Source organism: Homo sapiens, chromosome 3 (assembly GCF_000001405.40).
Source record: "Homo sapiens chromosome 3, GRCh38.p14 Primary Assembly".
NCBI lineage: Eukaryota > Metazoa > Chordata > Mammalia > Primates > Hominidae > Homo > Homo sapiens.
Window position 1 is genome coordinate 168,702,619 of NC_000003.12, and position 18,143 is coordinate 168,720,761.

The window sequence follows — 18,143 nt, forward strand, 5'->3', positions numbered from 1 at the left end:
TTAAGTTCTTTTATATCTGCCCACATCTCTCTATTTCTTCTGCTACTAGCTTAGGTCCTCATCATCTTTCATCTGGATTTTGGCAATAGTTATTTGTTGGCTTCTCTGCCTTCAGTCTGCCACCCCTCTTATCTATTCTTCACTCTGTTAGTGCCCACTGCATATAAAGTAAAGTCATAACTCCTTAATGTAGTATAAAAGACTTTCCATGATCAGGCCCCTGCCACATCTCTAGCAAAATCTTTTTCCACTTTAACTCTCCCTCTAGAGAGATCAAACTAATTGCATATTCTATGAACGTGCATACTCTCCTCCTATCCTTAGCAAAAGATAAGTCCTTTAAGCTTTGTTCCTTCTCAGTACTGTCATTCTCTTCAAAAGTCCTATTCGCCTCTTTTCTAAACTAAGTGGTTTTTGTTATTGCTTGGTGAATGCCTGTGCTAGAAAATTGGTAACTTTTTTTTTTATTTGCAGCAATAGCAGAAATTAGGGAAATAAAATCCACAGAGTTACCAGCATGCATTTATTTCCTATTCAATTAGATCTGACTTTCAAGATACCAGAGATTGTAGCTGCCAAGAAAAGAACAAAAGGAAACACACAGGATAAAGGATGAGATTTTAAAAAAAAAGTAAGGAGAGATCATTCACCATGAAGAAACCATTCAAGAAGCCAGCTTTACCATCCCTGCCACTGTCAGGTTTATCATGACTTTGTACAGGCAATTTTATAAACACTAAACATTTGTAGTCAAGATGAACCAAGATGAACCATCAAATTCATTATAATTTTGACAGAATATAATATCTCCAATAAATTCTGTAGGGAACAACTGGAAAGTATGACTTTTATGTACTTTATGAAATACAGATTAAGTCATTTTACAGGCTAGAGGACAACAAATCTTTTTAAAAAGTAGATGTTACATTTGAGCTGCACTTGGTGATTTTCTCCCACTGTAAGCTGCTCCAGTTTACCACATGCATCAGTAAAGATAATTTTGTTTGCAAGCAACAGAGTCATTGAACTAAAAAATAATTAAAGGGAGTTATTGGATGACCTAACAGAAGTTCAGAGATAGGGAGGACTTCAGGCAGAGTTTAATCAGGGCTCCAACTCCAGTTCTCTGTAAGTTCTTCAGTTTTGTCCTGTATTGATTGACTTTATCTTTAGTGTAGCTTCACTCATGGAAGCAAAGTGGTTATGCAAAATGGCTCACATTCATACATTATAGTTTCCACAGCAAGAGAGCATCTATGTCCCAGGATCCCCAGCCTATATGTTGAGCTTCCTACTGACTGGATCTTATCTGAAGTAATGCATTCCTCATGAGAAAGCCTCATGCATTCCTCATGAAGGGACTACCTGATCAAATTACTGTGGTAAATAGAGATGAGATTATGCCAAATAAAGCCCATTCTGGATTTGGAAGAGGGGCAGTGTTTATCAATCCCACATAAACTACATAATATCTCTAAAGTGAAAGAGGTAAAATTTCCCTAAAGAAAACCTGGGAACCCCCAGGTTTATTTAGTATGAAAGAAGGAAAATGGATGAATCCCAAACAGGCAACCAGTCAATACTCACTACAGACACAATTCATAGTTGTTCATCAGAAGATTTAGAAATTATTTTGTAATCCAGATGTTTCAAGCTACTTGTGAGTAGTCAAAAATAAATATCAAGAGTCTGCTGCGAGGGTGAAAAGAGGGTAAACAGAGGCAAGGAGCCCAATTCTGAGAAATTCCATCAGTGAGTATAGATGCATTAGAAGATTGAATGGTGTGGATGACTCTCAAACTACTCATTCATTCATTCATTCATCCCTATGACATGTATAGGGTGTAAATCTATGCCAGAAAATATTTAAGTCAATGGGATCTTTAACCCCTTAAGAAATTCATTCTATCAGGCACTGCAGAATTTTAAGGAAGAAATAAGCAATTTTGATATATAGAGTGATTGCCACTATAGTAGAACACAGGAAAATAAGGCCACATGGAAAACCTAGCAGAGTCTTCATGAAACTCTTCAATATTTCTTCCAAACCTAATACTTCTACAGTGCAATCTCCAACATAAAGCACCCTAGGAGCACTTTATTTTCAATCAACAAGTATCTGAGAGTAGTATATTAAAAGGCAAAGGAAGAATAATTTATCTTACTCTGGTTCTCAGTTAAATGGTCACACAATCTAAAAAAAAAAATGAAACGATTTTGATTGTTTGGAAACAATCTCAGGGAGCTCTTAAGTACAAAATACATTTGCTAATAATATGCATTCTTTTAAGATATTATATTGTATGTCCATCTGAGGAAATAGTTTTGAGGGATACATAAAGCAAAAATATTTAGAGAAAGGACATAAAAGGAAAAATAGCAGACATAGTTTATTCTTTTTGACAGTCTTTTATAGCATAGAATCATGAAATCTTGGGTCCATATCACAGTGGTAATGCTGAGAAAATTCTAACCACTTTATCCTTATTCCCAGCAGTGTCCTGGAACTCCAATTCTAAGAGTAAGGCTTTCCATAAGCATCTAGCATGAAGATATAACTCAGAGAGTTTTTGAAAAATTATTTCTTCACATGAAGTATACTTGATAATAACATTTTAATGTAATATTGAAATTTCTGATTCTTAACTCTGTTGGGCAGAATCTTGATAGCCAAGAAAATCACTTGTGACAGTTCCAGAATAAGGGTCTAATATCATAGCAATTTAACCCAGTTTCATCCTATATCAGAAGTATTCGATCAGAAAAGAAGTAACATTTCCTTCAGGTTAACAGAAGTAGATCATTTCTCGTAACAGATCGTGTTAAAATTGTCTTGAAATTGCATAGTTTTGCTTACTCTAATACGTATATATATTTAAATATTTTGGTCTGAGTACAGATTTAGGAATTTGGACTGAATTGGTCTAATTTAATTAAACTGAGAAATCTAGCTAAATTATGACATTTGTGATTCATGTGACATTGAGGTTAAACAGACTACTTTCTACACTCTTGCTAGTTGGAATTTATGGTCCACAGTCCAGTACATCAGAATTACCTTGGATCTAGTTAGAAATGCAGAATCTCAGACCTCAGTTGCAGATCTACTAAATCAGCATCTGCATTTTAACAAAATCCCTAGGTAATTAAAACACTTACTGCACCAGGCAATCTTAACTCTGACTACACATTAGAATCACTTAGGGTGCTTTAAAAATGTTTTGATACACAGGCCTTAGCCATGCCCAATTAAATCAGACCCTGTAAGGGTGGGACCCTGGCACTGGTATTTTTTGATGCTCACCAAGTGGTTCTAATGTGCTGCCAAGTTTGAGGACTTTTGATTACACAATGCCCAATCAGTAAATTCAGTGTATTCTGAAAGGGCAAAAAGAAAAAAGAAGTCAAACCAATTACTTAGTATTTGGTCCCACTCTATAAATGATTGATTTTTTTTAACTTTTAATAAGTTTGCTTTGCTATGGTGTGAACACAGCCTATTATGTCTCAACCTGCCCAGAAATGTATTGTATTTTAAATCAAGAAGAGAAATGCTTTACCATCCAAATTAAATAAAAGGAGACTTACGTTTGTTTTTCAATTTTACTTCCCTTTGGTGACCTTATTCTCCAGCTTGACAGAGCTAAATGCTAAATTTCAGATAAACCACTGTACTTTTGGATTGTCCACCCTGCTCTCCATGCACTCAATTTTCATTTTTCCCCTAAGCCTAATGGACTTCTTGCCTCTGGATTTCTATATTGTTCACTGCTCCTGCCATGCACTCTCACTTCATGGTCTTATATTGTTAGCTCTACTAGTTAGTGGAATAAAAATATTATTTAATTTCTACATATAATCTCAAGCATTACCATATGCCAAAATCTTACATATGAATAGGAAAAAAATCACAGCACAGTACATGTGGCCATCACTATCATCTCATTTTATAGATGGGGAAACTGAGTCTCAGAGAGACAAGGTAACTGGCTAATAAGTTCGAACACTGTTTTTCCCAAGACTATTTGACTCAAAATACAGAGGAAGTTTGGTGTGTGTGTGTGTGTGTGTGTGTGTGTGTGTGTGTGTGCATGCTTATTTCAACTATAGTATAGTACTTTAATTAAAATTCTAGGACAGATTAAGAATATAAACATGTTAGGCTGCGTGCAATGGTTCACGCAGTAATCCCAGCACTTTGGGAGGCCAAGCTGGGTGGATCACCTGAGGCCAGGAGTTTGAGACCAGCCTGGCCAGCATGGTGAAACCCCGTCTCTACTAAAAATACAAAAATTAGCCAGGTGTGGTGGCATGCACCTGTAATCCCACCTACTCAGTAGGCTGAGACAGAAGAATCACTTGAACTCGGTGGGTGGAGGTTGCAATGAGCCAAGATCACACCACTGCACTCCAGCCTGGGTGACACAGCGAGACTGTGTCTCAAAAAAAAAAAAAAAAGAAAAAGAATATGAACACATTAAAACATATTAAAAAGAACATTCATTCTCAAAATCTATGCCCACTCTTACCTTTGGAATGGACTCAGTGATTTTTCTTATTTTCACTAACTTTGTTTCTTTTGTCAGAAAACTATTGAAGTTCGGTGGGTGGGTCAAGGGAGGTGGTCATACTATATTGGTTTCTTTAAAATTTGTTTTCATTGCATAAATAACAACTGGATAACTTTTTCCTGTAAAAAATTAGAACATCATAGATATGACTAAAATCTTTGTGTCCAGCACAGCCCCATGCACACCCTGCACTAAACCCGTTTGAACACCTTTTCTCCCCCATCAGAAGTAGCATCCTTTAAGACATTTCCCAATGTATTTAAATATATATGGCACATTGCAATAACTCTTGAGGATGGCAAAAATCATTTGTGATCTAAAGCTTAGTATGCTTGAAAATTAAGAGTTTTACTTATGTCTAAAATTTTAAAACCTGGGAAGGATATCTAATTCGGGGGTTGACAAAATTAAGATTCAAAATTATATCTTAACTCCACAGAATAATACCATAAAGTCAGAAAGATAAAAATTTAGCCATCATAAATATTGAGCCCTGCGTAAAAATACAAGTAACACATAGAGAATTCTGGTTTAACATTAGTTCATATGAAAAAGACCTAGAGGTTGGTTATCACAGACTCAAAACATAATAAAAATCCTAGCACTTTGTAAAGTCAGTAATTCTTATCTTTAAAATAAGATTCCTTTGAAAATATCAGGAATTATACCAGAATATCTACTTTTTGAAGGAAAATACTAAATTGTATAAAATTGTAAAATAGAGTGAACTAGTAGTTTTTAAATATGGGACTTATTTGATGACTTAATATCCTCTTTTTATATATTTTGTCTCTTAATTCAATGCCAATTAAGAGAAAACTCTTTTGCTTCCCTCAGGTCATATCCTCTAGTCTTTATTACAGTACAAAGCACTCATTACAGATCATAGGATTTTAGCCTGAAAAGGTGCTATGATGAGTCATTGCAATAGTAATACTTCTCCATTTTGATGTCTTCTTGAATAAGGATCTTGCCGTGTGGAATTAATGCTGCTCGTTGTAATGCTGATTGTCTAGTAGGCTGACTATATTTTAGTGAAGAATATTCATTCCCAATATTCTTGCTGGAATATCTGAGATTGGGAGCAGGGAATACTATCCATTAGCAGGCATTCTATCCGTTAGACACATGCGTTCCTATGCTAAGTCTCCACCTTCCTGAAAGATGATTATTTCTTTGAAACTTGTCAAAAGCCATAGGTTTTTATTTAAAAATAAATCCCCAAACAAGAACATTCAGAATTTCTCTATCCACCAGCCACCTGAAAATACCTCCCTAGGTTTATGGATATTTTCTTTTTGTGATTTTAGACACACAAGTACTGATTACACAGGGTACAAGGAAGTGTAGCTTCTGAGAGAGAAATTGATTTTTCTTTTCTAACAGAAGATGAAGATCATATTCATTTATCATGACCTTGGCTGATCATAAGACATAGGTGATCATGAATCTTGACCACTTGCTATTTTTTATAAAATTAAAGTAACCACTCATATAAACATGGTATTTCAGAAAATGGCATCTTGAGTGAGAAGGAAGAAGTTGAATCAATGACACAAATGTATATTTTTAAGAACACCAAACCATGGTTTCATTTTAATTTATCTATCTCTGCCCTGATGTTCCTCATAGCACATGAGAGGGAGATTCAAGGTCTTGACTCTATTACTGGCTTTATTCAGCAGTGCCAGACCAATAATAGGTGTTTATCTACCAGCGTGTGCTGCTCCTGATAGAGTAGCTTATTGTAATTCTCCCCTCCAGTTTTCCTTCCCCAAGGAAATACCTACATCTCAGATCTGTCTAATTAACCAATATTTGAAGAATAGAAAATTACGAGCAATCCCTATGCTCATCATTGATGGGCTTTAAAAAGCTCGATAAAGTTTCTAGGTACATTTTCTTGTTTACACGATGAAGCAAAATGGATCAAACAAGCAAAGATTTGTGGCAACAGAGATGGTGCCTTTGTATAATATAACACATACTGTGTATCAAAGAAATATTGTGCCACTTCTTCGAAGCTGACATTGGAACGACATTGTAATCCTGACCATCTGTCTTCCTCCTCTAGATGTCGATGAACGTGCAGTGGTGAATGGAGGCTGCCAGCAGCGCTGTATTAACACTCTGGGCACCTTCCACTGTGAATGTGATACGGGATAGAGACTGCATGCTGATGAACGCACCTGCATAAGTGAGTAAATATTAGAACCAGCTTGAAGCTGTTTTCAATGAAAATCGACCTGCCCATGTAGAGGCAGGAAGGAAAGGTTGTTCTATTGTGAAAATATCTATAGAAGCTGACAGTTTTGAGTACAATTCTATCCCTTAGGATTTTTTTAAAAAATATATTTTGCTATTAAAAGACTACCAGACAAAAAGTGGGGAAGGAGATATAGAAATTAACATTCAGAAGCAAACCTTGAATCCCCAAATATGTAAATATTTCTGTAGCATGTAATTTCTGCCATATACAGTAGAGTACACATTTGTTAGTTGTTGCTTATATACAAGCACAGCACAGAACTACAATAAAGTGAAGATACTGGGCCATTATAATTACTAGCAACAATGTCACTCATTTTAGACTAGAAAGAACTGGACTCAGAACCCCCTGACTGGAAAGAACTGGACTCAGAACCCCCGATTAGAATTCAAGCCCCAGCAAAATTATAGCAGATTATATGCCAAATATATTAGGACTGTTCAAGCTCAGTTAAAACTACACATGTGAAATCTGAAATTCTGTATGTTCATTGTGCATCAAAATTTCTTAATACTATTTGTGGGTAGTAGGATTATTATTTTTTGTGTTTGTATTTTTCTGAATTTTCTAAATTTCTTAAAATGAGCATATGGGACTTTCATAAACAGAAAAAAAACTTTAAAAATGCTATGTTTCCTGTATGACTTGTAAATGCTCCTTGTTGTTTTAACTGAAGTAATTTACATAAATATTCTTTTTTCATTAAGTGATGATTCTCAGATCACATAAAATTGCATTCTAACTTCCTCTCCAGGTCCCTTTTGAAAATATTTATATTAAAAAAGGAGCACATTGTACAGCACAATTTAATTACTGGCTTTTTGTTTATAGAGTTTGTTAACTAGTTCATCCATACAAAATTGTCAGTATCTTACAATGTAGGCGATAATTATGAAACTTGGAATCGAAATCAGCCAATTTCAACTAGCTTTATAACATATACCCCTCCTTCTTCTTCTTAGCCTATCTTTTAAGAAATTAAAAAAAAAAAGGCAATGCAAACAGGTAAAGAAGTCCTATTTGTAGGTCTGATTTTGATATGAGAAAACAGGTTCTGAGAGAAAAAGAAAAAAAATTCTTGAAGTCAAGTGAAGATACAAACTAAAGTCATATCCTAGGCTTCAAGGAGCTCAATATCATAATGATTGTATCGACAGCAAGCACAGGTTGGGGGACATTAATACACGCATGTTTAAATCAAAACAACCCTTTCTTTTTGTGGGATTACTGGTTTTAGCTGGAAGAATCCCTTTCCATCCTCATTTCCAATCTGTAAAGTCTCCAGCTAGTAACATCTTTAAACTGCCACCATAATGTCTCTCAATCACAAAATACATAAGAGCAGCAGGATTATTGATACATGCAGATGGGATATTTATCAGTAAAAGTTGACCTGGTAAATTTTTGTTTCTGATTTAAAAATTTTTTGCCAAATAGTGATTTATATGAATCTACAATATCTGGTCTTTGTGATAAGGCAAAATAAACACTCTAGTCACCAACTAAATTGTATTTATAGGTATAATTAATTTGGCAGTTCCTAGTTATTTCTTAGTAAAATCATTAAGCTCTTCCCTTATTCCTTTCCATCACTGTCCTTGAATTTTCAAAAATTTTTAAGGACATCAGGTCAAAAGTGGAGTTTGACAAGGATATTGTAGGTTATCTTTTCTCTTTCTATTCCTTTAAAGCTAATTATTATTGTACATATACATGGGCACTATGATAATAGCTTACTTGCAGCTCCATATGCTGATCTCCTTATGCAGAATCTTAACATAGGGAAAAATTAAATTTATATATGCATACTGATAACACATATAAATCTCCCATTTTATATATATATATATATATATATATATATATATATCTCGAGTGAATTAAGCTATTAAGAAATGTAGAGTTAATGATTGCCGTCATTTAAAGTGTTTAACCCCTTGATACCATTCTACAGAAGTTACTGAACTAAAAGCCCAGCACTTGACCCTTGCAAAAATTTTGATGCCTTTTCCACTTAATACACTGAAGTTTTGGTTTCAAAGGGTGGTCTTAAGAATTTCAGCTGATACAGCTTACATTTACAGCAGTCTTTTTAAAAGGAGCCCAAGAATAACTTAAGCACTTTGTATTGAAACATAAATAATGTGTAAGATTAAGAACAATAACTATTTGCTTATTTGTTCTGAAAGAAAGGGTTTATTGCAGAGAATTGACTTTCAGGCTGGTCTGTATTCCAGGCTATCTTGTAAACAGGGTAAGTTTTTTTTTTACATTAATTTATTTATCTATTTTTGAAATTTCAGCTTTTATTTTAGATTCATGGGGTATGTGCAGGTTTGTTACATGGGAATACTGTGTGATGCTGAGGTTTGGGGTGCAATTGATCCCATCACTTAGGCAGTGACCATAGTACTCAACAGGTAGTTTTTCAACTCTTCCCCTCAACAATTAGTTCCCCATGTCTATTGTTCCCATCTTTATGTCCAAGTGCATCCAATGTTTAGCTCCCACTTATAAGTGAAAAGTATGTGGTATTTAGTTCTCTGTTTCTGTATTAATTCACTTAGGATAATGGCCTCCAACTACATCCATGTTACTGCAAAGGATATGGTTTTGTTCTTGTACATGGCTGCATAGTACTCCATGGTGTATATGTACCACATTTTCTTTATGCAGTCCACCACTGATGGGCATCTGGGTTGATTTCACGTCTTTGCTATTGTGAGTACTGCTGCAATGAACATTCGAGTGAACATATCTTTTTGGTTGGAGAATTTAGTTTCCTTTGGGTGTATACCCAGTAATGGGATTACTAGGTCGAATGATAGTCCTACTTTTAGTTCTTTGAGATATCTCCAAACTGCTCTCCACTAATAGTGATTTAAAAAAAAAAAAAAAAAAAACCATTGAATTATCTCACATTTCCGTTGAGATTTTTTACCTGGTAGAAAGCTGAATATGGTGGTTGGTGTTTAATGGGAGATTGTAGTAGATGGAAGTTTATTATGATTCACGGTAGAGTCACAGAGAAGAAGATAAAGTTATGAAATGTTGTGATTTCATACATTAGACTACTTGAAATTAAGTGCCTCCATTTCTTCCTTCCTCCTTTCCTTCTTTTCTTTCCTTTTCCCCATTCTGCTTATTAGTCATAGGATAAGACTAGTGTGACTTTTTGAGTTAGAGCCTCTGGTGCTTTTTGTACTTTATCTTCATCAAAGCTACAATAAAGTAAACTCCCCACACACAGACACTTACAGAGTTTCAGATGACTTCATTTCAAAAGGGTCTCCTTTCTCAGGGCTGTGCTCTTGTAGTGGTGTGTGTGCAGTGCAGAACAGTCAGCCTCCGTCAGAACAATCAAGCAGCATAGAGTGGTGTAAGGGAAGGAGTCCATGGCAGCTGGCTAAGGTGGCAGGAAGTATGAGTGCATGGGGCATGTGGCTCACCATACAAGTTGCTTGGACTGCTGATACAATGGGATTGCAATAAATCTGGGGATCTTTGTTTAGTGGACCACAGTTTGAACCCATGGACTTGTCAGCAAATTTTTGGAATGTGTCATTGCTTTGGAGGCCAGGGCCTTTGCTCAGATTCTTTAAGATGTCTATGGCACCCCCAAAATACCCCACATATATTTTTGTCATTATGATGTCACTTCTTAAAAAGTATGTAGGAGAAGGATCTCATGACATTGTTATATCATGTTATTGTCTCATGATACTGTCATATAGTCTGATGCAAAGTTGTGCAGTGAATGCTTCTCTCAACAGCTTTCTTTATAATGGGATTTGAGGCTAGGAACCTCAGTCCCTGTCCTTGAGAAGCATGACTCCTGACCCACTGTCATTTCTCCTGAAAGAACATCAGGAAAACCAGCCTGAAAGCATGCCCCACGTATGAGGAGCATCACAGCAAGTGAAAGTAGCTGCATTTTGTTGATGGAAGGGTGCAGACACAGCATGGGGAAGCAAACAAAAGTGGAATTCTTGCCACATTTGCTTTGCTATTGGTGTTCTCCCTTAACATGCATATTATGGAATAATTTTTATATTTTTAAATTTTCTTTTATGTGGAGACCAACAGTTTAAAAGATGGAAAATAGATTTTAGCAATCATCAGAAAGACAGAGAAATTTATATTCAGATTAGTGAACACTGAATCTCATCTATGTGGTCTCGGGACTGTGGCACAATAAAATTCAAGTTGGCATGTGAGCTTAAGCAAGTCATTTAATCTCTCTACACCCTGGCTGCCTCCTGTGCAAAACAGAAATTGGACAATTGGGCTTAAAATTACTTCATCACTAAGGTATTATAATTTTACAGTTTCTAAAATTACTAGTTCATTATAAATAATCTGCTAACTTGTATTTTAAAAATTCTACTGAATCAGGCATAACTATTTTATAGAGCTCTAATTTTATTTAAAAAGTGTTGAAATAACTCAGCTCTATAGAGTACAAGCATAAAAGCAGTGTGAGAATTTTGTGATCTAGTTTAATAAAAATGAATGAGTAACTTGCATTTCTTCTTGAAAAAAAAAAAAAACTTCGGTGCTTTTGTGACAATACTGTTTTCCATATCACAGAATAATATCTGGAGGGGACCCAAGGATTATGATAGTCCAATTTCCTATCTTAGAGATAGAAAGTCTGAGAGAGAAAGAGATCAAGTAAGTAAATTACTGTGAGAAAGAAAAATTTAGTCTTCAGGAAATCCTGGCTAATCTCACTCCTGATCCTATGACCTCAAATAACTTCTGTTCAATTTTGTTTTGTTTTATTTTGAGAGAGTCTCTGTCTGTCACCCAAGTTGGAGTGCAATGATGTGATCTTTGCTCACTGCAGCCTCCGCTTCCTGGGCTCAAGTGATTCTCCTGCCTCAGCCTCCCAAGCACTTTTTCTACAGGTGCGCACCACCACGCCTGGCTAATTTTTTGTATTTTTAGTAGAGATGAGGTTTCACCAAGTTGGCCAGGCTGGTCTGGAACTCCTGGCCTCATGTGATCTGCCTGTCTCGTCTGTTCAATATGTTTTAAAAGACTAAGATAAATCATGAAAGCACTGCTAAAAGAAATTCTTACATTACATTTTAGTAAACACAGCTAAGGGTTAAAACAATGTATTTTTAAGGTAGCTACTGAAGAAATAAATCTACTTTATATCATCTCTTGTCAGTTCAATCTTATCACTTCTCTCCTACATTTCTGTGATATGCTCCAACAAAACCTGGCTACTCTCAGTTCTCTAAGTAAGCCATGCCCTTTTCTGCTTCTGCACTTTGCTTTACTCTTAGCCTAAAAATTAGCTCACCCCCAAGTCTTTGCCTATCAAAACTACACTTACTATGTTCCATGTCAAATGACCTGTAATGCTTTCTCTGGTTACAACAGCCAAAGGCATTCTCTCTTATCTGAAATATCAAGCAATTTTATTTGTGTTGGTTTAATAATACATCATAATATATAGACTTATGAATGTATAATTGGGTTTCAGACTAAATGAAAGACACTGATGACCTTTTAATTGTCAACTTCAAGTGGAATCTTTTCCGTTCTCTTCTTGATAGCTGTTAACCACTAATTTTTCTAAATCTTCCTTTTGAGTTCATGACAGTGCAATTTTCACTTTCAATTGCTGCTTCTCTGTTACTTTCACTCTGGGTACCAGGGTTCTGACTTGGAGTTATCATCTGTGTCTCTCCTCTGTTCTCCTTTATTCACCCTTCCTCTAGTCTATCTTCATTTTGCTCTTCTATTTTTATACATAGTACTTGCAAAATAGTTAGAATATTCCCTTGCACATTGTATTACTTAAATATAACCTATTAGAATATAAAAAATATAAGGACTTCACCCAGATGGATTTGCTTGTTAGGGAAAACAAAGTTGTTCCAGTATTTCTAGCTTTTGGAACGTTGCTGATATTCTCTTTTATAAAGTACATTGTCTTTCGATAGCTGTTAAATGGTGGTTTTTTTCCATGGTTGAGAGGCAGGGGCTAGTAGATATAGCTAAATATGAGAAGTAATGGTAATGTAGACTAAACTGCTTTTATTATTAGAGGATGTTTTTTAAGAGCCAGGGGCTACATGCCAAAATAATTTATATTACCCGTATTTTCAGTATTTAACTGTGTAATTTACATTTTAAGTAACTTGTAAGGCTATAATTTGATATACCTCACAAAATCTTTCTTGAATTTTTATTTTTAATAACAACCTTATGAAACATGCTCAGCTCAGATCTCCATTCATAATCATGTTCTTCCCTTGATGTATTTGCTGAAATTGGCCTTCCCAGAGGGAAGAAATAATTAAATGATTCAAAGTTTTAATGCTTGCATAGTTCTCTTACTGCTTTCATGCTTTCAGTACATAGGTTTATTAACATCTGCATTCATAAATAAACAAATGGAATCTGATGTCTGCATAGAGAAACCTTAGATAAAGAACATTTTAATTACTTCAGTCTCTGATGCAAGAATTCTTTATTTCCAGTTGCAGGGAATGATCAGGATCTGTTTTTGTTCAATGGTCTCTTTTTAGAAGTCCAATGTGATATTCATTGCACAATGGAACCCAGTGACCCCTTTTTAGTCTCACTAAATGAAAAAAAAAAAAAGAAGAAAGATGACCTAGAAAATATAATCTAAAGATTTTAGATATTTTGTTTGTGGTCAAGTGTGTGACATGGTGCAGTCAATGGTGATACTTTAATGATAATTAAGCAGAAGTTGTGTGGCAAGGAGAGGGTAGGTGTACCAGCAAGAGCTTGATTAAAATAAAGATGTCCTTACTAAAACTTTGAGCTTGAATAAATTTTCTTATATCAGATTTTTATGAGTTTGACATGTTAAAATAATGCTAATTTTAAAAAAAGATTGAGAAAACTATTAGATGTGGTGGTCTTCACAATGAGTTCTTTTGTTTTTGATCTCAGTGTTCTGATCACTGATGTCTAAGTTTTATTTGATAAGAGGAAGGATTCTTTCCAGGGAATGCAAAGAGATTGCCCTCAAATAGGATATGAAAGAGGTTAAAGACTTTCATTGTAACTACCTTTCAATTAGTTGCATTATTTATGAAGACAAATTAGAAACAGAATTCATTTCAGATGACAGCTGATGTCTTGAACAGGGCCATGTCAGGTTAAAAAAATTGTTTAGTTTGTCAGATTGATGGCATCTCTCCATCATTATCAGATTCATCACCCTCTCAAGATTAAGCACTTTTGTGTGGCAGATGATAAACTTAATTCCCAAAAGTTAAATTTAAGGAACACTTTTTCTCTGCCCGTCTCATTCTCAATCTGTGGCCTTAGGGAAAAATCATGAACTTAAGTTTTTCATCCAGAGCATCGACTGTTAACCCAGTTTAGTAACTTTTTACAACTATTTGAGTTTCAGGAACACATTAAGAAATCTTCCCTTTTTTTTCTGTAGTTTTTGTACAGTTTGCAGACTCAGGAAGGTAAGACTGACAATTTTAGATAAAGACAGATTGAGGTTTGAATCTGACTGTATCACGTAAGAGTTGTGTGATCTTAGCCCAGTTACGGGGTGTCCCTGATTTTCAGAGTCCATATCATCTCTATGTCTATGTGAATACCTATATCTACTAAAATCAGGATAATAATTCACAAAAATCATGTTGTACATCGTGAAAGAGCACATACCTTATAAAGAAGAATGTATGTAACATACTATAATGATCATCCATGGGAAATTGGGAAGATTGAGAGTGGGCTCTGGGGTTAAAAGTGAACAAATAAGAGAGGCTCTTAAAAGGACAAGGGAGTGATAAGGAATGTCCTTGTGGTGTGATGAACTCCACCTTCTGTACTGGAGATTACAACAAAACAAAATAATGAAATGTTTGCGTAGTGGTCTTCACATTTGGTAATTGGCTTTTTGTACTTCTTTCTCTTTATGTGGCAAGTATCTTTACATGTCTTCCTTCAGAATAATTTTTAAGTTATTTTTCTAGTTCCTTTTATAAAATATATGACATTAAATGATAAAACCCTAATATTAAGCAATATTTAATTTTGTTTTCTTGTGTTCCCTAAGTAATCTCATAGTGCATTATAGAATACCCACCATATAGCATAAACTTACATGTGAAGAGATTAAAGTCGTAACTGACACACAGTGAATGCTCAATAAATGGTGGCTTAGATTAATGATTTATGTATCTACTCCTACATTATTTTCTCACAACCTGAACACCCGTTCAATACAGAGATACTGAGAATGGGAGATTCTTCATTGTGTGCCACTGGAAATCCAAGACTTTAGCTTTAAATTATTCATTCATGAAAATATACCATGGAATTTAGGATCGAGAGAAAAATGATACTAATCTGAAAACAGTATATCTTGGGAAAAAAGTTCCTCCCCTTTCAGAGTAACAATGTTAGCTTTACCACATAGTTTTTGTTTATTTCTTTTTAGTTTTTTTATTTTTTAATTTCGTGGGTACGTAGTAGGTGTATATATTTATGGGGTACATGAGATGTTTTGATACAGGCAAGCAATGTGAAATAAGCACATCATGGAAAATGAGGCACCCATCCTCTCAAGCATTTATCCTTTGAGTGACAAACAATCCAATTATGCTCTTTAAGTTATTTAAACATGTACAATTAGGTTATTATTGATTAGAGCCACCCTTTTGTGCTATCAAATAGTAGGTCTTATTCATTCTTTCTGTACCACCCATCGCCATCTCCCCCCATCAGCCTTGAACTACCCTTCCCAGCCTCTGGTAACCATCCTGCTACTCTTTATGTCTGTGAGTTCAATTGTTTTGATTTGTAGATCCCACAAATAAGTGAGAACATGCAACATTTGTCTTTTTGTGCCTTGTTTATTTCACGTAACACAGTGGTCTCCAGTTCCATCCATATTGTTGCAAATGACTGGATCTCATTCTTTTTTATGGCTGAAGAGCACTTCATTGTGTATATGGAATCACGTTTTATTTATCTATTCATCTGTTGATGGACACTTAGGTTGCTTCCAAATCGTATATATTGTAAACAGGGCTGCAACAAATATAGGAGTGCAGATAGCTCTTTGATATACTGATTTCCTTTACTTTGGGTCTATACCAGCAAGACGGATTGCTGGATCATATGGAAGTTCAATTTTTAGGTGTTTTTTGTTTTTTTTTTTTTTTTAGGAACCTCCAAACTGTTCTCCATAGTTTACACCATCAGTGTACAAGGGTTCCCTTTTCTCCACATCCTCGCCAGCATTTGTTACTGCCTGTCTTTTGAATAAAAGCCATTTTAACTAGGGTTAGATGATATCTCATTGTAGTTTTGATTTGCATTCCTCTGATGATCAACTTTACCATGTAGTTTTTATATTACAAGGTGTTAGACGTTGAGCTAATGACATAACTGCTTAATAACTCAGCTTCTCCATATGTAAGGGGACAGTTGAGGAAAAGTAACAATGCAAGTGAAATCTTTAGTTCAGTGCCTGACACAGAGCAAGCAAGTAAAAAATATTAGGTAATATTATTAGTATAGTTCCATACCTTGGAACTTGGCTATAGCCATAGAACTAAGTAAAATTATGAAGGGTCAGAAACCATAAGTATAAATTGGCTTTGGTGATCACATTACTTCTATTAGGCATTTTTGTTAGTAGTTGCTATGGTGTGAATGTTTGTGACCCTAGTATTCATATGTTGAAATCCTAACCCCCAGGTTTATAGTATTTTGAGATGGGAACTTTTAGGAGTTGATTAAGTCACCAGGGTAGAATCCTCATGAGTGGCTTTAGTGCCTTCATAAAAAAGAGGCCCGAGGGAGCTTGTTTACCCCTTCCACCATATGGGGATACAGCAAGAAGGTACAATCTACAAAAAAGATGTACCCTTAGCAGACACTGAATCAGCCAGTACCTTGATCTTGGACTTCTCAGCCTCTAGAACTGTGAAAAAATATTTATAAGCTGCCCAGTCTATAGTATTTTGTTATAGCAGCCAAACAGACAAAGATAGTAGATTTTAAAAGCATACATTCACTGACTGTTTCAACAATCCCCCCTTTTCTTTATATTTTTGATATTTTTTGAGTTTTAGAGCAATATTCACAACTATGTTTTGACTATATAATAACATACTCCCATTCTCATTTATCCCTAGGTTGAAGATTTATATCTCCCTTTTTCCAAAAGCACTGAAGGCAGCAAGCTACAGGAAGCTTATGCATTTTTACAGGATACAAAGTGCAGAAAGACATTAAACATAAAACAGTATTGCCTACATCTAAAAGAGGCAGAAGGAATAAGTGCTTGCAAATAGCAGATATGAGCAGAAAACTTAAATCCAAATTTAGTATCCCAATATAGCTTCTAGCTACTGACAAGAAAAGAATAGCATGATTTCAGAGTTTGCATTTTTCTGACACAAGTCACAGAGACATCTTTTTTGGGGGGTGGGGGGAGAATTCAGTGATTTCATAATCTGTTACTGAATACACATATTTTATTTTGCAGAGAAAATAGAAATTTTTAGCTAAGGTACCTCCCAACTTTTACTCCCACCCAGAACTTTAAAATTAACTCTAAGCTCTGCCTACTTTGCTCTTCACTCTGAGGAAAAAGTGCTCTGCTGTAATTTCAGGCTAATCTTCCCATCTCTGGATAGGATCTCAGCTGCCCTCCTCCTTAGAACATGGCTCCATTACATGCTTCTTTTTCCTCTATCACCATCTTCTTTATCTCTATCTTAAAATAAAACTTCTCTCTAAAACTAGTTTTGCCAAGGTTATTGATAAATTATACACTGTTAAATTCAAGGAGTACTTTTCATACCTTATTTTGCTTAATATCTTGAAAGTAATGATCTTGCCTTCTATCATAGTCTGTTTTCTGCTGCTATAACAACACACCAGAGATGGTGTAATTTAAAAAGAACAGAAGTTTATTTGGCTGTCAGTTCTGGAGGCTGGAAAGTCCAAGAGCATGGCACCAGCATCTGGCAATGGTCATCCCATGGCAGAAGGCAGAAGTGGGCATGTGAGGCAGAGAGTGAATGGGGGCCAAAGTTATCCTTTTATCCAAAGCCCACTCCTGTAATAATGGCATTATTCCATTCATGAAGGCAGAGATCTTATAACCTAATCACCTCTTGAAGGTCCCATCTCCCAATACGATTACATTGGCAATTAAATTTCAACATGAAATTTGGCAGAGACATTCAAACCATAGCACCTTCCTTCTTGACATTCTCTCTTTCTTGGATTATAGAACACAACTTTCTTTTGGTCCCCTCCCATCTCTGTGA

General features: G+C 35.4%; 1 pseudogene across 1 annotated transcript in view; it reads left to right on the plus strand.

Annotated features, from left to right (window-relative positions):
• EGFEM1P (EGF like and EMI domain containing 1, pseudogene) overlaps positions 1-18,143 on the plus strand; it is a 581,078-nt pseudogene that overhangs the window by 453,097 nt on the left and 109,838 nt on the right. Inside the window, exon 6 of the transcript NR_021485.2 lies at positions 6,646-6,768. The product of NR_021485.2 is annotated as an EGF like and EMI domain containing 1, pseudogene (transcript). The remainder of the gene's footprint in view (positions 1-6,645; positions 6,769-18,143) is intronic.